The sequence below is a fragment of the Homo sapiens genome, chromosome 4 (genome assembly GCF_000001405.40).
Source record: "Homo sapiens chromosome 4, GRCh38.p14 Primary Assembly".
NCBI lineage: Eukaryota > Metazoa > Chordata > Mammalia > Primates > Hominidae > Homo > Homo sapiens.
The window spans coordinates 9652261-9672864 of NC_000004.12; the positions used below are offsets into that span (position 1 = coordinate 9652261).

Consider the following 20604-nt stretch of genomic DNA (forward strand, 5'->3'; position numbering starts at 1 on the left):
ACCCCTGGGTTCTGGCCGGCTAGCTCATGCCACCTCACTGCTCCCCCATTCAAGTGTGCCTTCGATGTGTGGTTTCCAAACTCATCTACACTTTAAGGTCACATGCGATTTTTTTTTAAATCTTCCAAAACCCAGGCCACACCCAAGAACAATTGAACCCTAACCTCTGGAATGGGACAGAGCATCTGTTTTTTGTTTTGTTTTGTTTTTGAGACAGGGCCTCACTCTGTTACCCAGGCTGGAGTGCAGTGGCACAATCATAGCTCACTACAGCCTCCAACTCCTGGACTCAAGAAACCCTCCCACTTCAACCTCCACGGTAGCTGGGATCACAGGCGGGCACCACCACGCCTGGCTAATTTTTAAATTTTTTACAGAGGCAGTATGTCCCTATGTTCTCCAGGCTTGTCTCAAACTCCTGGGCTCAAGCAATACTCCCGCCTCAGCCTCCCAAACTGCTGGGATTATAGGCATGAGCCACCATGCCTGGACATCAGCATCTGTATTTTTTGAAGCACAGATGAGTTTGGGAACTACCGCCCTAGACTGAGCTCGGTTTCCTAGCCCTGTCTGACCGTAGGATTCGGCTGGGCTGCTTCTGAAAACAGAGCTCCCCAGGCTCCTTCCCAGGTAATTCTGATTCATTAGGTCTGGGGTGGGCCCCGGAATGTGCATTTTTTATGAGATCCCTCTGGATGAATCAAGCTAAAGCCAGTATGGGATCTGAGACCTTGGAGATCATTCCCCAACCTCCCTCCTAACCCAGTTCCCAGCTTGACCCACCTCACCCAGGCTGTGTCACGTCTGACTTTGCAGATTACACCTGAGAGGGAAGCCCCAGCCATCACAATGTGAGAACATTTTACAATGACGAGGATATGCCAAACACATTTTAAATCATTCAGGATTAGCGTTCACCTTAAACTTGACAGACTCTGAGAACGGGCTGGCCACGTGCTGTGCACAACCCTTAGTGCTCTTCTGTGACTAATATTTGGATAATTGATAGTTGGAAGCTCAGGAAGCCTCTCTCTCTCAGAGGGGTCGAGGTTAACTTCTTTATTTCTGAGGTAGGGAAGAAAGTGAGGATGTTCTGCCTTTTGCCAGACTGAATACTGTCCTCCAAAAATTCACATTCACCAGGAATCCCAGAATGTGGCCTTATTAGAAAATAGGGGCAGGGCATGGTGGCTCATGCTTGTAGTCTTAACACTTTGGGAGGGTGAGGCAGGAGGATCACTTGATGTCAGGAGTTCAAGACCAGCCTGGCTAGCATGGCAAAACCCTGTCTCTACTAAAAACACAAAAATTAGCTAGACATGGTGGCATGCACCTGTAATCCCAGCTACTTTGGAGGCCGAGGCTGAAGAATCACTTGAACCCAGGAGGCAGAGTTGCAGCGAGCTGAGGTTGTGTCACTGAACTCCAGCCTGGGCAACAGAGCAAGACTCCATCTCAAAAAAAAAAGAAAAGAAAATAGGGTCACTGCAGATCTAATTACAAAGAGGTCATATTGGAATAGCGTGGACCTTAAATCGAATAATAATGGCATCCTCATGGGAAGAGAAGAAGAGACAGAGACATACAGGAGAGAAGGCCACATGAGAATGAAGGAAGAAAATAGAATGATGTGGCCACAAGCCAAGGATTGCCAGCAACTACCAGAAGCCAGAAGAGGCAAGGAAGTATTCATCCCTAGAAACTTCAGAGGGAGCACGGCCCTGCCCGTTTCAGACATCAAGCTTCTGGAACGGGAGAGAATGACTTTCTGTTGTCTTGAGCCACCCATTTGGGGAACTTTGTTAGAACAGTCACAGCCAGGTCATGTGCTCCTGGATGCATCTCAGGCATTAATAAGCACTGTCTTGGTCAGTCAGGGTGGCTCACCCCTGTAATCCCAGCACTTTGGGAGGCTGATATGGGTAGATCACCTGAGGTCAGGAGTTAGAGACCAGCCTGACCAACATGGAGAAACCCCATCTCTACTAAAAATACAAAAATTAGATGGGCGTGGTGTTGTGCACCTGTAATCCCAGCTACCTGGGAGGCTGAGGCAAGAGAATCACTTGGACACTGGAGGCAGAAGTTGCAGTGAGCCGAGATTGCACCATTGTACTCCAGCCTGGGCAACAAGAGCAAAACTCCGTCTCAAAAAAAAATAATAAGTACTGTCTTGACTGTGGTAATCAAAAATATTTGATTAAGGGTTAGCTAGAAAGCCTGACCCTTTCACAGATGGACGGAAGGGCCAAAAGAAAATAGATTGTTTGCAGTGGGGCAAGAAGGATAAGAATCCTATGGAAAGAAAAACAGAGGGATTTGTTTAGTGAGCGCTGGGGAGAGACATTTGTTTTCTTGCTTAAAAAAGAAACACAGGTGGGGTGCGGTGGCTCAAGCCTTAATCCCAGCACTCTGGGAGGCCAAGGTGGGTGAATCACCTAAGGTCAGGGGTTCGAGACCAGCCTGGCCGACACTGTGAAACCACATCTCTACTAAAAAGACAAAAACAAAAGAAAGAAAGAAATTAGCCAGGCATGGTGGCGAGTGTCTGTAATCCCAGCTACTCCGGTGGCTGAGGCAGAGAACCACTTGAACCTGGGAGGCAGAGGTTGCAGTAAGCCAAGATGGCATCGTGGCACTCCAGCCTAGGAAACAAGAGTGAAACTCTGTCTCAAACAAAAAAAAAGAAAGAAAGAAAAAAATAAAACATAGTTTTAAGTCCACTCAGTGGAGTTTAAAAATACATTCCCATTGCACAGTGCTTTAGGAAACCTTTCTAAACTTCTGTTGCACATGATCTAATTTGATCTTCATAGCAACTCCTTGAGGTGGATAGGGCAGGCCTTTCTGAACACCTATTTTCTAGTTTGCATTAAAAGAACGGAATTGGCTGGGACCAGTGGCTCATGCCTATAATCCCAGCACTTTGTGATACAGAAGGGAAGTGCTCGGAAGGGAAGAATGTGGTCCTTTTAAATGATATGGAAGTGAGGAAGGGAAGTACTGGGTAGAGGAGGGTGTGGTCCCTGGCTAGGGCTCCACCCCAGGGCCTGTGCCCACGGACCTAGGTGAGGACAGGCATTTTTGTTTTCCTGCCCAAATGTTGCATTTCCCAAGACCACCCTGGCTGCCACACTCCCATTCTGTGCCTATAAAAACCCTGAGACCCTAGCAGGCAGACACACAGGCAGCTGGACTTCGAGAGGAGCACATCAGCGGAGGAACACAAGGGCGCTGGACATCAAGAGGAAGGCACCAATGGGCACCGGCACACCGCAGGCCACTGACTGGCAGAACAACGCACAGTTTGGCTGGGACATTCGGAGAAGAGTCAGGCCACTCGCCCGACTCCAGGGGTAAACCACCTCCCTTCTGGCTCCCCCATCTGCTGAGAGATACTTCCACTCAATAAAACCTTGCACTCTCATGCCTGTAATCCCAGCACTTTGGGAGGCCGAGGTGGGCAGATCACGAGGTCAGGAGATCCAAACCATCCTGGCTAACACAGTGAAACCTCATCTCTACTAAAAATACAAAAAAATTAGCCGGGCTTGGTGGTGGGCACCTGTAGTCCCAGCTACTCGGGAGGCTGAGGCAGGAGAATGGCATGAACCCTGGAGGTGGAGCTTGCAGTGAGCTGAGATCGCACCACTTCCGGTACACCATGGCAAGAACCCCAGGACAAAGAGAGTCCTCTGTCCTTGCAATAAGGCGGAGCTCTAATTGAGCCGACTAACACAAGCTACCTACAGATGGCTAAACTAAAAGAGCACTCTGTAACACACGCCCACTGGTGCTTCAACTATAAACATTCACCCCTGGACACTGCCATGGGGCTCGCTGCCTGTCTGCGTGCTCCCCTAGAGGTTTGAGCAATGGGGCACTGAAGACCCCATCTCTACAAAAAAAAAAGTAAACAAAAAAAAAAAACCATTAAAAATTAGCCAGCTGTGGTGGCACACACCTGTAGTCTCAGCTACTCAGGAGGCTGATGTGGAAGGATTGCTTGAGCCCAGGAGGTTGAGGCTGCAGTGAGCCAAGATTGAACCACTGCACTCCAGCCTGGGCGACAGAATGACACCCTGTTTCGACAACAACAAAAAGAATGGAACAAAATCACTTCTCAAATAGCTAGCAGAGGCAGATCTGGTTCTCAAATGCAGGTTTTCCAGGTTTCAATTCTTGTTTCTAGCAGTATTATGGAGAAACACGATCACTAATACATAAAGGAGAGGAGGATTCAAGTTCTGATGAAAAGATGGTAAAGAGAGGAGTTAGTTGACTAGGAGTGACTAGGAATGGGAAGAAAACGCATGACACTACTTACGGGAAAGAAGAAAAATAAGCATAGAGGTGACTGAGCGGACAGAAAGGACTTGGAAGAAGCGTGTTTGTCCCCGTCTCTGCATTTTTTCCCTTGCTTTAGTAACTTCCCTGATGACTTGGATGAATCTTCTCTTCCAGGGCACCTAGTGTTCCCTTTCTGTCCACTTCTCCCTTCCCAGGGCCCATACAGTCTGGGAAAGCATGCTCTGCAGGCTTCTCATATCTTTCCTTCCTTAATCAGCCCCTAGCGTCTCTACATAACCCATATACACCTGGAGTTCCACATGTCCCAGTCTTTGCACTGCAATGAATTCAAAGAAAGGTAGACTCTAGCTGGGTGCAGGGGCTCACAGCTGTAATCCCAGCACTTTGGGATGCTGAGGCAGGTGGATCACTTGAGCCCAGGAGTTCAAGACCAGGCCTGGCCAACATGGTGAAACCCCATCTCTACTAAAAATACAAAAATTAGCTGGGCTTGGTGGTACATGCCCAGTAGTCCCAGCTTCTGGGGAGGCTGAGGCAGAAGAATTGCTTGAACCCAGGAGTCAGAGGTTGCAGTGAGCTGAGATCGTGCCACCGCACTCCAGCAGCCTGGGCAACAGAGCAAGGCCCAGTCTCAAAAAAACACAAAGACAAAACTAAACCAAAAAAAAACCAAAAAAAAAAACAAAAAAGCTCACACACACACACACACACACACACACACACACACACACACACAAAGGTAGACTCCAATAGGAAAAATTCACTCAAAAGCAATTCAAATAATTATTCAGTCAACCCAGTTCTATCTCAGTTCTTTATTATATATATAAACTTATTCTGTCCAGATTCCCTAGTTTTCTTTTTCTTATCTTTTTTGTTTTCTTTTGAGCCAGGGCCTCACTCTGTCACCAAGGCTGGAGTATAGTGGCACAATCATGGCTCACTGCAGCCTCAACCTCCTGGGCTGAAGTAGTTCTCCCACCTCAGCCTCCCAAGTAACTGGGACTACAGGTGCATGCCACCATGCTCAGCAACTTTTTGTATTTTTTGTAGAAACGGGGTCTCACTATGTGGGCCAGGCTGGTCTTGAACTCCTGGACTCAAGAAGTCCACCTGCCTCAGCCTCCCAAAGTGCCAAGATTACAAGCATGAGCCACTGCATCTGGCTGATTCCTTAGTTTTCTTTTTCTCTTTGCCCATTCCCTGGATTCCATAAGCAGAAGGAAAACCCAGGGGCTGACTTTGTAGGCAAGACTCTTTCCTCTTCAAAACATAAATTGGTTCAAGTGGTAACAAAACTGAAACATGTTTATAACCTAACATCTTTTCTTCCTACCCCTTCAATCTCCTGAGCAATGAGAAAAGTTACTGGGTTCTTTATTTGTGTAGGGAAAAGAGAGATCAGACTGTCACTGTGTCTATGTAGAAAGGGAAGACATAAGAGACTCCATTTTGAAAAGGACCTGTACTTTAAATAATTGCTTTGCTTAGATGTTGTTAATTTGTTGCTTTGCCCCAGCCACTTTGCCCCAGCTACTTTGACCCAACCTGGAGCTCACAAAAACATGTGTTGTATGAAATCAAGGTTTAAGGGATCTAGGTCTGTGCAGGACGTGCCTTGTTAACAAAATGTTTACAAGCAGTATACTTGGTAAAAGTCATCACCATTCTCTAGTCTCAACAAACCAGGGGCATAATACACTGTGGAAAGCCGCAGCGACCTCTGCCCTTGAGAGCAAGGTATTGTCCAAGGTTTCTCCCCATGTGATAGTCTGAAATATGGCCTCATGGGATGCGAAAGACCTGACTGTCCCCCAGCCCGATACCCGTAAAGGGTCTGTGCTGAGGTGGATTAGTAAAAGAGGAAAGCCTCTTGCAGTTGAGATGGAGGAAGGCCACTGTCTCCTGCTTGCCCCTGGGAACTGAATGTCTCGGTGTAAAACCCGATTGTACATTTGTTCAACTCTGAGATAGGAGAAAAGCTGCCCTGTGGCAGGAGGCGAGACATGTTTGCAGCAATGCTGCCTTGTTATTCTTTACTCCACTGAGACGTTTGGGTGGAGAGACACATAAATCTGGCCTACGTGCACATCCAGGCATAGTACCTTCCCTTGAACTTAATTATGATATAGATTATTTTGCTCACGTTTTTTGTTGACTTTCTCCTTATTATCACCCTGCTCTCCTACTACATTTCTTTTTGCTGAAATAATGAAAATCATAATCAATAAAAACTGAGGGAACTCAGAGGCCGGTGCCTGTGCAGGTCCTTGGTGTGCTGAGTGCCGGTCCTCTGGGCCCACTGTTGTTTCTCTATACTTTGTGTCTTATTTATTTTCTCCGTCTCTCATCCCACCCGACTTGAAATACCCACAGGTGTGGAGGGGCAGGCCATCCCTTCATCTGGTGCCCAACATGGGGCCCTTCTCTAGGGTGAAGGTACCCTAAGAACGTGAGCATTGAGGACAGCCGACGAGAGATTCCCGAGTACGTCCACAGTCAGCCTTGAGGTAAGCTTGTGCGCTCGGAGGAATCCAGGGTAACAATGGGGCAAACTGAAAGTAAATATGCTTCTTATCTCAGCTTCATTAAAATTCTCTTAAGAAGAGGGGGAGTTAAAGCTTCTACAGAAAATCTAGTTACGCTATTTCAAGCAATAGAACAATTCCGCCCATGGTTTCCAGAACAGGGAATTTTAGATTTAAATGATGGGGAAAAAATTGGCAAAGAACTACAACAAGCAACTAGGGAAGGTAAGATCATCCCACTTACAGCATGGAATGATTGGGCCATTATTAAAGCAATTTTAGAACAATTTCAAATAGAAGAAGATGGCGTTTCAGTCTTTGATGCCCCTGAAAGCTGTGTAATAGATTGTGAAGAAGAGGCAGGAACAGACTTTAAGAAAGGAATGGAAAGTACACATTGTAAAAATGCAGTAGAGCCTGTAATGGTTCGGTCAATGCAAAATGTTGACTATAATCAATTACAGGAGGTAATGTATCCTGAATCATCAAAATTGGGAGAAGGAGTTCCAGAATTATTTGGGCCATCAGAGTTTAGACCAAGATGGCCACCAACCCCTTCTCCCGCGGTTCAGATGCCTGTGATGTCACAATCTCAAATGCCAATCCAGGCACAGTATCCGCAATACCAGCCAGTAGAAAATAAACCCAACCATCGGTAGTTTATCAACACCAGCCGCCAGCCGAATTTCAGTATCGGCCGTCTCCAGAGGTTCAGTATGGATCTCAGGAGGTGCGTCCTGTGCCAAATAGCAAGGCACTATATCAACAACCCACGGCGATGGCGTTTGATCTTACAGTACCACCTAGTGGACAAGATAGTGCACTGCATGAGACCATTGCTACAGCCAGAAAACAGGGAGATCTTGAGGCATGGCAATATCTGGTAATGTTACAACCGATGCCGGCCGGGAAAGGGAGTCAAGCAGGAGCGTCTGTCTGAACTGAGACCAGATATGAATCTTTCACCACAAAAATGTTAAAAGATATGAAGGAAGGAGTTAAACAATATGGACCTAACTCTCCTTATATGAGAACATTATTAGATTCCATTGCTCATGGAAATAGACTTATTCCTTATAATTGGGAAATTTTGGCTAAATCTTCCCTTTCACCCTCTCAGTATCTACAGTTTAAAACCTGGTGGATTGATGGGGTACATGAACAGGTATGAAAAAATCAGGCTACTAATCCTGTTGCTTATATAGATGCAGACCAATTACCAGGAACAGGTCCAAATTGGGGCACTATTAACCAACAATCAGTAATGCAAAATGAGGCTACTGAACAACTAAGGGCTATTTGCCTCAGGGCCTGGGAAAAGATTCAGGACCCAGGAACCTCCTGCTCTGCTTTTAGTTCAATCAGATAAGGCTCTAAAGATCCATATCCAGACTTTGTGGCAAGGTTGCAAGATGCAGCTCAAAAATCCATTGCAGATAATAACGCCCGAAAAGTTACTGTAGAAATAATAGCTTATCAAAATGAAAATCCAGAATGTCAATCGGCCATAAAGCCATTAAGAGGAAAGGTTTCAGCAGGAGTTGATGTAATTACAGAATATGTGAAGGCTTGTGATGGGATTGGAGGAGCTATGCGTAAGGCAATGTTATTGGCTCAAGCAATTACAGGGGTTGCTTTAGGAGGACAAGTTAAAACATTTGGGGAAAAATGTTATAATTGTGGTCAAATCGGACATCTAAAAAAGAATTGCCTAGGCTTAAATAAACAGAGCAAAAAAAAAAAAAAAAAAAGAGCCACCTGGCCTGTGTCCAAGATGTGGAAAAGGAAAATATTGGGCTAAGGAATGTCTTTCTAAATTTGATGAAATTGGACAGCCATTGTCGGGAAATGGGAAGAGGGGCCAGCCCCAGGCCCCGCAACAAAGTGGGGCATTCCCGATTCAGCCATTTGTTCCTCAGGGTTTTCAGGGACAACAACCCCCACAGTAAATACCACCATTTCAGGAAATCAGCCAATTACAACAATACAACAACTATCCCCTGCCACAGCAGGCAGCGCTGCAGTAGATTTATGTTCTGCTCAAATGATTTCTTTACTCCCTGGAGAGCCCCCGCAAAAGATTCCTACAGGGGTATATGGCCCACTGCCAGAAGGGATGGTAGGCCTTATTTTAGGAAGATCTAGTCTAAATTTGAAAGGAGTTCAAATTTATACTGGGGTAATTGACTCAGATTATAAAGGGGAAATTCAGTTAGTGATCAGCTCTACTGTTCCCTGGAGTGCCAATCCAGGTGATAGAATTGCTCAATTACTGCTCTTGCCTTATATTAAAATTGGGGATAACAAAACAGAAAGAACAGGAGGGTTTGGAAGTACCAACCCTGCTGGAAAAGCTGTTTATTGGGCTAGTCAGCTCTCAGAGAATAGACCTGTGTGTACAGTTACTATTCAGGGAAAACAGTTTGAAGGATTAGTGGATACTGGGGCTGATGTTTCTCTCATTGCCTTAAATCAATGACCAAAAAATCAGCCTAAACAAAAGCCTGTTACAGGACTTGTTGGTGTGGGCACTGCCTCAGAAGTGTATCAAAGTGCCAGGATTTTACATCGTCTAGGACCTGATAATCAAGAGAGTACAGTTCAGCCTATGATTACTTCTATTCCAATTAATTTATGGGGCCAAGACTTATTAGAACAGTGGCATGCAGAGATTACCATTCCAGTCTCTCTATACAGCCCCACGAGTCAAAAAATCATGACTAAAATGGGATATCTCCCTGGCAAAGGACTAGGCAAAAATGGAGAAGGCATTAAAGTTCCAATTGAGGCTAAGGGAAATCCAGAAAGAAAAGGACTAAGGTATCCTTCTTAAGGGTGGCCACTGTAGAGCCTCCAAAACCCATTCCATCAACTTGGAAAACAGAAAAGCCTATAAAGGTAAATCAGTGGCCACTACCAAAACAAAAGCTGGAAGCCTTACACTTACTGGCAAAAGAACAATTGGAAAAGGGACATATTGAGCCTTCATTTTCGCCTTGGAATTCTCCTGTGTTTGTAATTCAGAAAAAAACAGGCAGATGACACATGCTAACTGATTTAAGAGCCGCTAATGCAGTAATTCAACCCATGGGGCCTCTCCAACTTGGGCTGCCCTCTCCAGCCATGATCCCCAAATATTGGCCTTTAATTATAACTGATCTGAAGGATTGCTTTTTTACCATTCCTCTGGCAAAACAGGATTTTGAAAAATTTGCTTTTACTATACCAGCCAGAAATAATAAAGAACCAGCCACCAGATTTCATTGGAAAGTGTTGCCTCAGGGAATGCTTAATAGTCCAACTGTGTGTCAGACTTTTGTAGTTCAAGTTCTTCAACCAGTTAGAGACAAGTTTTCAGACTGTTATATCATTCATTATGTTGATGATATTTTGTGTGCTGCAGAAATAAGAGACAAATTAATTGACGGTTACACATTTCTGCAGACAGAGGTTGCAAATGCAGGCCTGACAATAGCATCTGATAAGATTCAGACCTCCACTCGTTTTCATTATTTGGGAATGCAGGTAGAGGAGAGAAAAATTAAACCACAAAAAGTAGAAGTAAGAAAAGACACATTAAGAACATTAAATGACTTTCAAAAATTGCTAGGAGATATTAATTGGATTTGGCCAACTCTAGGCATCCGTACTTATGCCATGTCAACTTTGTTCTCTATCTTGAGAGGGGATCCAGACTTAAATAGTAAAAGAACATTAACTCCAGGGGCAACTAAAGAAATAGAATTAGTTTAAGAAAAAATTCAGTCAGCACAAGTAAATAGATCACTTAGCCCCACTCCAACTTTTAATTTTTGCTACTGCACATTCTCCAACAGGCATTATTGTTCAAAATACAGATCTAGTGGAGTTGTCATTCCTTCCTCACAGTACGGTTAAGACTTTTACATTGTACTTAGATCAAATGGGTACATTAATTGGTCAGGCAAGACTACGAATAGTAAAATTGTGTGGAAATGACCCAGATAAAATCATTGTTCCTTTAAATAAGGAACAGGTTAGAGAAGCCTTTATCAATTCTGGCGCACGGAAGATTAGTATTGCTGATTTTGTGGGAATTATTGACAATCATTACCCAAAAGCAAAAATCTTCCAGTTTTTGAAATTGACTACTTGGATTTTACCTAAAATTACCAGACAAAAACCTCCAGGAAATGCTCTGACGGTGTTTACTGATGGTTCCAGCAATGGAAAAGCAGCTTACACTGGGCCAAAAGAACGAGTCACTGAAACTCAATATCACTCAGCTCAAAGAGCAGAATTGGTTGCTGTCATTTCAGTGTTACAAGATTTTAATCAGCCTATTAACATTGTTTCAGATTCTGCATATGTAGTACAGGCTACAAAGGATGTTGAGACAGCCCTAATCAAATATAGTGTGGATGATCAGTTAAATCAGCTGTTTAAATTGTTACAACAAACTGTTAGAAAAAGAAGTTTCCCATTTTATATTACTCATATTCGAGCACATACTAATGTACCAGGGACTTTAACTAAGGCAAATGAACAAGCTGACTTGCTAGTATCATCTGCCTTCATGGAAGCACAAGAACTTCAGGCCCTGACTCATGTAAATGCAACAGGATTAAAAAACAAATTTGATATCACATGGAAACAAGCAAAAAATATTGTACAACATTGTGCTCAGTGTCAAGTCTTACACCTGCCCACTCAAGAGGCAGGAGTTAATCCTAGAGGTTTATGTCCTGACGCATTATGGCAAATGGACATCACACATGTACCTTCATTTGGAAAACTGTCATTTGTCCATGTGACAGTTGATACTTATTCACATTTCATATGGGCAACCTGCCAGACAGGAGAAAGTACTTCCCATGTTAAAAGACATTTATTATCTTGTTTTGCAGTCATGGGAGTTCCAGAAAAAATTAAAACAGATAATAGGCCAGGATACTGTAGTAAAGCATTTCGAAAATTCTTAAATCAGTGGAAAATTACACATACAACAGGAATCCTTTGTAATTCCCAAGGACGGGCCATAATTGAAAGAACTAATAGAACACTCAAAGCTCAATTGGTTAAACAAAAAAAGGAAAAAGACAGTAAGGAGTATAACACTCCCCAGATGCAACTTAATCTAGCACGATATACTTTAAATGTTTTAAATATATATAGAAATCAGACCACTACTTCTGCAGAATAACATTTTACTGGTAAAAAGAACAGCCCACATGAGGGAAAACTGATTTGGTGGAAAGACAACAAAAACAAAACTTGGGAAATAGGTAAGGTGATGACATGGGGGAGAGGTTTTGCTTGTGTTTCGCCAGGAGAAAATCAGCTTCCTGTTTGGGTACCCACTAGACATGTGAAGTTCTACAATGAACCCATCAGAGATGCAAGGGAAGGCACCTCCGCAGAGACAGAGAACCCGCAATCGAACATCATTGACTCGCAGGGTGAACAAAATGGTGATATCAGAAGAACAGATGAAGTTGCCATCCACCAAGAAAGCGGGGCCGCCGACCTGGGCCCAGCTAAAGAAGCTGACACAGTTAGCTGAAAAAAGCCTGGAAAACACAAGGGTAACACAAACTCCAGAGAATAAGCTGCTTGCAGCTTTAATGATTGTATCAACGGTGGTAAGTCTCCCTATGTCTGCAGGAGCTGCTACAGCTAACTATACTTACTGGGCCTATGTGCCTTTCCCACCCTTAATTCGGGCAGTCACTTGGATAGATAATCCTATTGAAGTATATGTTAATAACAGTGCATGGGTACCAGGACCCACAGATGACCGTGGCCCTGCCCAACCTGAAGAAGAAGGAATGATGATAAACATTTCCATTGGGTATCATTATCCTTCTATTTGCCTGGGAAAAACACCAGGATGCTTAATGCCTACAATCCAAAATTGGTTGGTAGAAGAACCTACTGTCAGTGCCACCAGTAAATTTACTTATCATATGATAAGTGGAATGTCACTTGGGTCACAAATGAATAATTTACAGAATTCTTCCTATCAAAGATCATTAAAATTTAGGCCTAAATGGAAACCATGCCAGAAGGAAATTCCAGAAGAATCAAAAGACCCAGAAGTCTTAGTTTGGGAAGAATGTGTGGCTGATACTGCAGTGGTACTACAAAACAATAAATTCAGAATTATTATAGACTGGGCCCCTCGAGGCCAATTATATTATGACTGTATGGGCCAGACCCACTCATGTTCACAGGCTCCATCTGTCTGGCCCACTAATCTGGCCTACGATGGTGACTTAACTAAAAGGCTAGACCAGGTTTATAGAAGGCTAGAATCACCCTATCCATGGAAATGGGGTGAAAAGGGGATTCCATCACCCCGACCAAAGTTAGTTAGTCCTGTTGTTGGTCCTGAACACCCAGAATTATGAAAGCTCACTGTGGCCTCGTACCACATTAGAATTTGGTCTGGAAATCAAGTTATGGGAACAAGAAATCATAAGCCATATTATACTATTAACCTAAATTCCAATCTGACAATTCCTTTGCAAAGTTGTGTAAAACCCCCTTATATGTTAGTTGTAGGAAACATAGCTATTAAACCAGATTCCCAAACTATAAGCTGTGAAAATTGTAGATTGTTTACTTGCATTGATTCAACTTTTGACTGACAGCATGGTATTCTGTTAGTAAGGGCAAGAGAAGGCGTGTGGATCCCTGTGTCCATGGGTCGACGGTGGGAGGCTTCTCCATCCGTACATATCTTAACAGAAGTAGTAAAAGGAGTTCTAACTAGATCTAAAAGATTCATTTTTACTCTGATTGCAGTGATTATGGGTCTTATTGCAGTCACAGCTACTGCTGCGGCTGCTGGAATTGCTTTACACTCCTCTGTTCAAACTGCAGAATATGTGAATAATTGGCAAAAGAATTCCTCAAAATTGTGGAATTCTCAGACTCAAATAGATCAAAAATTGGCAAATCAAATTAATGATCTTAGACAAACTGTTATTTGGATAAGAGATAGGCTCATGAGCTTGGAATATCTTTTTCAGTTACAGTGTGACTGGAATACGTCAGATTTTTGTATTAGACCTCGAGCCTATAATGAATCTGAACATCACTGGGACATGGTTAGATGCCATCTACAAGGAAGAGAAGATAATCTTACCTTAGATATTTCTAAATTGAAAGAACAAATTTTTGAAACATCAAAAGCCCAGTTAAATCTGGTGCCAGAAACTGAGGCAATGGTAAAAGCTGTTGACAGCCTCACAAATCTTAACCCTATCACTTGGGTTAAAACCATTGGAAATTCCACTATTGCAAATTTTGTATTAATTCTTGTATGTCTGTCCTCTCTATTGTTAGTCTACAGAGGTATATCCAGCAGCTCCGGAGAGACAGCGACCAGCGAGAATGGGCCATGATGACGATGGCGGTTTTGTCAAAAAGAAAAGGGGGAAATGCAGGGAAAAGAAAGAGAGATCAGACTGTCACAGTGTCTATGTAGAAAAGGAAGACATAAGAGTCTCCATTTTGAAAAAGACGTGTACTTTAAACAATTGCTTTGCTTAGATATTGTTAATTTGTAGCCTTGCCCCAGCCACTTTGCTCCAGCCACTTTGACCCAACTTGAAACTCACAAAAACATGTGTTGTATAAAATCAAGGTTTAAGGGATCTAGGGCTGTGCAGGAAGTGCCTTGTTAACAAAATGTTTACAAGCAGTATACTTGGTAAAAGTCATCGCCATTCTCTAGTCTCAACAAACCAAGGGCACAATGTACTGTGGAAAGCCAGAGGGACCTCTGCCCTTGAGAGCAGGGTATTGTCCAAGGTTTCTCCCCATGTGATAGTCTGAAATATGGCCTCATGGGATGAGAAAGACCTGACTGTCCCCCAGCCCGATACCTTAAAGGGTCTGTGCTGAGGTGGATTAGTAAAAGAGGAAAGCCTCTTGCAGTTGAGATGGAGGAAGGCCACTGTCTCCTGCTTGCCCCTGGGAACTGAATGTCTCGCTGTGAAGCCCGATTGTACATTTGTTCAACTCTGAGATAGGAGAAAAGCTGCCCTGTGGCGGGAGGCGAGACATGTTTGCAGCAATGCTGCCATGTTCTTTACTCCACTGAGATGTTTGGGTGGAGAGAAGCATGAATCTGGCCTACATGCACGTCCAGGCATAGTACCTTCCCTTGAACTTAATTATGATATAGATTCTTTTGCTCACATATTTCTTGTTGGTCTTCTCCTTATTATCACCCTGCTCTCCTACTACATTTCTTTTTGCTGAAATAATGAAAATCATAATCAATAAAAACTGAGGGAACTCAGAGGCCGGTGCCAGTGCACGTCCTTTATGTGCTGAGTGTCTGTCCCCTGGAACCACTGTTGTTTCTCTATACTTTGACTCTGTGTCTTATTTCTTTTCTCTGTCACTCATCCCACCCGACTAGAAATACCCACAGGGGTGGAGGGGCAGGCCACCCCTTCAATTTGGTGACACATAGCCTGTGCCCTCAAAGAACACTGACACCCCGGTAACATCCATTCAAAGAGTTTCTCTGTACCTCCCCTCCTTTATCCCCAAGGTCACTGGGTCAGAGCTCACGGAGTCATTCACAACATGATGTTTAACACCGAGACGCTCTGGAATTACTCCTTCAAGACGACTCAGAAGAAGACCCATTGCTGAGACAATCATGTTCTCTCTCTCTCTGGATCACCACCCAGAGACAAGGACTGCCAGAGACCCTGGCTTCCACAGCTGCTGCCTCTCATTCCTGCACCTGTGGGATGAGAGTTCGAAGCTGTGTGACCTTGACCAAGTTACTTACCCTCTCTAAGCATATGTTTCCCTAAATGTGAAATAGGGATGATGGTGATGTGTTTATTTCACAGATTTGATAGAAGGATTAAATGAGAGATGCATCAAAAGCAGTAGGCACAGGGTCAATGCTCAGTGAGCTTTCTCTTTTCTTATCAATAGACAGGTCTCCATGAGGACAGAAACTGGCTTCATCTCGACTGTAGCGTCAGGGTTGGCCACAGTGTCTGCACCCAGCAGGACTTCAGTAAATATCTGTTTATACACTAACCACAGACTTAGGCATAAAAGCCCTTTGGAAAAAAGTTGACCATTTCATGCACCTTCAGACTATGAAGAGCAGTGATGACAACTTTAGCTTGAGAGGCTCTCAGTGCCCATTCATCACCGCTGTGAAAAGGCAGAAACCAGAGCTGTGTGTTTAACTCCCAGGCCCAAAATCTGTTGGCCTTGCTTTATCACTATGAACTTCCAATGCCATCCCTTTAGAATGCGACCTCTCTCTTCTTCCCCAAGGCACTAGCCTTCACCCCAGACCTATCCTTATTAGCTGGTGCCTCCTCTCTGTACTCTGAGCCCATGCTGTGCTCGTCAGATAGCAACATGGGAGAATACAGCAGCCCAGAATGCAGGCTGCAGAGTTAGATCCCCAGAACAGGATCTCAGCCGGTTCCATCCTTCCTTAGCTGGGCGACCGTGGCCATTGACTTGCTCTCTGTGCCTGAGTTGCTCCATCTGTGAAATGATGATTATCATAGTCCCTGCTTCAAAGAGTCACTGGGAGGATTAACAGAAAATGCAGGGAAGGTGCTTGGAAATAAATGCTCAAAAAAAGTCCATGTGGCCAGGCACGGTGTCTCACACCTGTAATCTCAGCACTTTGGGAGACTGAGGCAGGTGGATCTGTTGAGGTCAGGAATTCAAGACCAGCCTTGTCAACATGGCAAAACCCCGACTCTACTAAAAACACAAAAATTAGTCAGGCATGGTGGCAGGCACCTGTAATTCCAGCTACTTGGGAGGCTGAGGCATGAGAATCTCTTGAACCTGGGAGTCAGAGGTTGCAGTGAGCCGAGATGGTGCCACTGCACTCCAGCATGGGCAACAAGAGTGAAACTGTCTCAAAAAAAAAAAAAAAAAAAAGTCCATCATTCTTATTAATGGAGGCCAAATCATCTCAGCGCTTCTTTGGCTGATCAGTACCCTCCAAGCCAGTGTTATCCAATAGACCAGAGGTCCCCATCCCCCAGACCACAGACCAGTAGCGGTCTGTGGCCTGTTAGGAACTGGGCTGCACAGAAGGAGGTGAGCAGTGGACTAGTGAGTGAAGCTTCATCTGTATTTACAGCAGCTCCTCATGGCTAGCGTTACTGCCTGAGCTCTGTCTCCTGTCAGATCAGCAGTGGCATTAGATTCTGATAGGAGCACCAACCCTATTATAAACTGCATGTGGAAGTGATCTAGGTTGTGTGCTCCTTATGAGAATCTAATGCCTGATGATCTGTCACTGTTTCCCACCACCTAGAGATGGAATTATCCAGTTGCAGGAAAACAAGTGCAGGGCTCCCACTGATTCTACATTGTGGTGAGTTGTATAAGGATTTCATTATATATTATAATGTTAATAACAATAGAAATAAAGTACACAATAAATGTAATGCACTTGAATCATCCTGAAATTTCCCCCCACAAATACATGGAAACTGGTCCTTGGTGCTAAAAAAAATTGGGGACCACTGCACTAGACTATTCAGTCACGGTCCAATCAAACATTCTGCAATGGCGGGCTTGCTCTACTCTGCACTGTCCAACATGGGAGCTGCTAGCCACCCACATGGGCTGTTGAGCCCTTGAAATGTGGCTAGTGAGAATGAAGAGCTGAAATTTCAATTTTCTCTTAACTATTTTTTTTTTTTTTTTTTGAGACAGAGTCTCACTCTGTCCTCCAGGCTGGAGTGTAGTGGTGCAATCTCATCTCACTGCAACCTCCATCTCCCGGGTTCAAGCAGTTCTCCTGCCTCAGCCTCCTGAGTAGCCAGGATTACAGGAACGCGCCATCATGCCCGGCTAATTTTTGTATTTTTGTAGAGACGAGATTTCACCATGTTGGCCAGGCTGATCTTGAACGCCTGACCTCAGGTGATCTGCCCAACTTGGCCTCCCAAAATGCTGGGATTACAGGTGTGAGCCAACATGCCCGGCCTTAATTAATTTCTAAATCACAAAATCTAAACAACAAGTGGCTAGGAGCTACCATAGTGTACAAGGCAGCTGTGGAATCACAGGAAATTGTCAATGACCCTGTCCTGCTTCAAGTTGACTTTTCCCCCTCATGGTGAGACTCTAGATTCTTTCCTCTTCTCTCACATTTTTTAGACTTTTAGGATTAGACCATGAAAATAAGTTCTGTCCTTCCAAGAAAATAACGTCCATAACAATTTCTGTATACCAGGATGATTTCAGTGCTTTACATGTATTAATTTACAACTACTTTGAGGCAGGAGCTATGATTATGCCCATTTAACAGATGACAAAACTGAGGCACAAAGCGGTGCTGGAACTTCTCAAAGTCACACAGGTAGCAGGAGGCAGAGCTCGGATTTGAACTCACTATGGGTTCAGCAACTCACAGCTCTCATCTATGACATAATATTACTTCTGTGGTCAAAACGCTTAGATCTGGATTTCACAGGAATCTTGTGCTTGCCTGGCTGCTAGGGAGGTTTTCATCATCTTCCTTATCTCACAGTTCAAAACCCAGGGCCTCCATGCTCTTGCTATGGTGGCCGTTCACTGGCAGGAGGCTTCTGGGAAGGTTCTCCTTTTCTGTCATTTTTCTTATTCGTGGTTTTTTGTCTCATTGGTGTTTATCTGCAGAACTTTGTTTCCTTCTGCTCAATTCATAATCAGAGTGCTTTTCCTCCTGGCTGAATTCATAAGTGTTTGTGCAAAAAGAGGTTGGCGCAGAGCCAGGTGACTGACGACACCCAGCTCATCTGGCAAGTGGATATCAAATTGTTGTATCTCGTTCTGCCATTCACAGCTCCGCCGTGGGGCTGGGTCATCTGCCAGCTCTCCAAGGAGCTGGTGGGAAACCACTGAAATCAGAGCGAACCCACGGCCCGGGTGAGCCCGCCTTGGCACAGCACTCCAGCTGACCCCCAGTGCCTTTTGGGAACAAATCTGCATTGCCAGGCAGGGCTGTGGGAGGGCCGCCTGCCTCCTGTCCATCACAGAGAAAACCTACCCTTGTCCCGCGTCCCTTCTAGGCAGCCTGTGTGGGGATTGCTGCATTCACCTTTAATATGGCTAAAATGTTTTCCTTCAATGACAGTAATGCTGCCAGAACCCATCAAGACACCCAGGAACTGATGTGCCTTGGCAGATGATGCTGGAAAGATGGGATTCCCGGCAGCCTTTGCATCTGTTGCTCACAGCCCACGAGCATCTCCACCGTCCAGCAGGTCAGGGCACGGTCTCTCTCTCTCTCTCTCACGGTCTCTCTCTCACGGTCTGGGCAGAAAGAGAGAAGTCCATCTGGAGCAGACTCGGATTTTAAATGAGTGTCCCCAATAATTTAACATGATTGATGGCTGAGGTATTTCACCAAGTTCAGGAGTCCCAGTTCTCAGAGAGAGGCAGCCAGCCATGACTGTAAGACCTGGGCAAACCGTACAAACCAGACAGCAGGTCTCACCCCTCCCCAGAGAGCTCCAGAGTATCAAAGAGTGAAACAGCAGAGGGATGGTCTGGGTGGGGTCATCATGGCTGGCAAGGGTCTGTGACAGCACCTTGTTAGGCTACCCCCAAGAGGAAATTTGGAGAGAGGGTGGGAGGGCAGCTCTCAGTGCAAGCTAAGTCTCCTGGAAAGTAACTTCCAAACTTTGGAGGATTGTGAGCAAGATGGGACCAGCAACTTCTACCTAAAAGAATGTTAATAGCAAGATAACTCATCCTAATATTGGTCTAAGCTAGGTCTTTATTATGCATCATAAAGTTTCTGAGAATAACAATGTAACCTCCAAAAGGGCTGCGGGCTTTGAGGAATCTCAGGCAACTCGCTTCCTTCTGCTCAGTGACTCCCCTGGAGCACAGCAAAGCAAGGAAACACTTAGAGCCAAGCTTGAGTTCGAATTTCAAATACAGGGAGTCCATCTCTTTCTACCCAATTGTTCCCTAGAATCAGTAACTAAGTCCTTCCCCTTAATGGCACGTACTTCCTACCAAAACACAAGAGCGATGGGCTGTCCATGAGCCTCCCCAAAACATGTGCACCTTGTGACATAAATTCAGTCACCCAAAGAGACCACACAAAATGCAAAACCAAAGTGGAGCCTTTCCTTGAATTATAGGTTCCAAAGAGTTTTGGACCCTCTACAAAACCCAAGAGTTAGGAATTGCCTGTAAGAAGCACCAGCCCTTGTTTTAAAGAGGCAATTTAGGAATAATAGCCATGCTGATGCCACACTACGCTAAGGGAGAATAATGAACCTAATAAAACTAGCGATTTTCTAATTGCTTTTGCTGCTGGAAACACTGATTATTTTCTATATATATATATTATATATTTAATATATATAATATATATAATATATATTTAATATATATAATATATATAATATATATTTAATATATATAATATATATTATATATAATATATATTATATAATAAATACCCATTCTTTTGCATCCAATTAAGTGTTCAGATTATTTCTCAGAAGTATTTGTTGAAAATAGCACTTCTGATAATCAAGTGTCCCAAATAAACAGAGTCAAGTGTGGTGTGGTACATGTGTGAGTGTGTGTGTGTGTGTGTGTGTGTGCACACATGTGTTTTTCTGGAGCTCGTTTTATGGAGATCCCGCATAGCTCCCCAAATTCCTATGAGACCAAATAAGAAAAATCACAGTTTCCTAAGACTACAGCTTGGAATATCTTTGGAAAAGGTGTGTATTGAGAACACAGCATATGGAAACTATTT

General features: G+C 44.1%; 1 long non-coding RNA gene across 5 annotated transcripts in view; it reads left to right on the forward strand.

Annotated features, from left to right (window-relative positions):
- Positions 1-6764: 6764 nt before the first annotated feature.
- LOC124900660 (uncharacterized) overlaps positions 6765-20604 on the forward strand; it is a 31530-nt gene continuing 17690 nt past the window's right edge. For 2 of the 5 annotated variants that reach the window (XR_007058017.1, XR_007058018.1), the window contains exons 1-2: positions 6765-12460; positions 18958-19087. This is a non-coding gene — a long non-coding RNA (uncharacterized LOC124900660). Of the gene's footprint in view, positions 19088-20604 lie in introns of all 5 variants that reach the window. The other 3 variants (XR_007058016.1, XR_007058019.1, XR_007058015.1) reach the window with 3 other exon arrangements.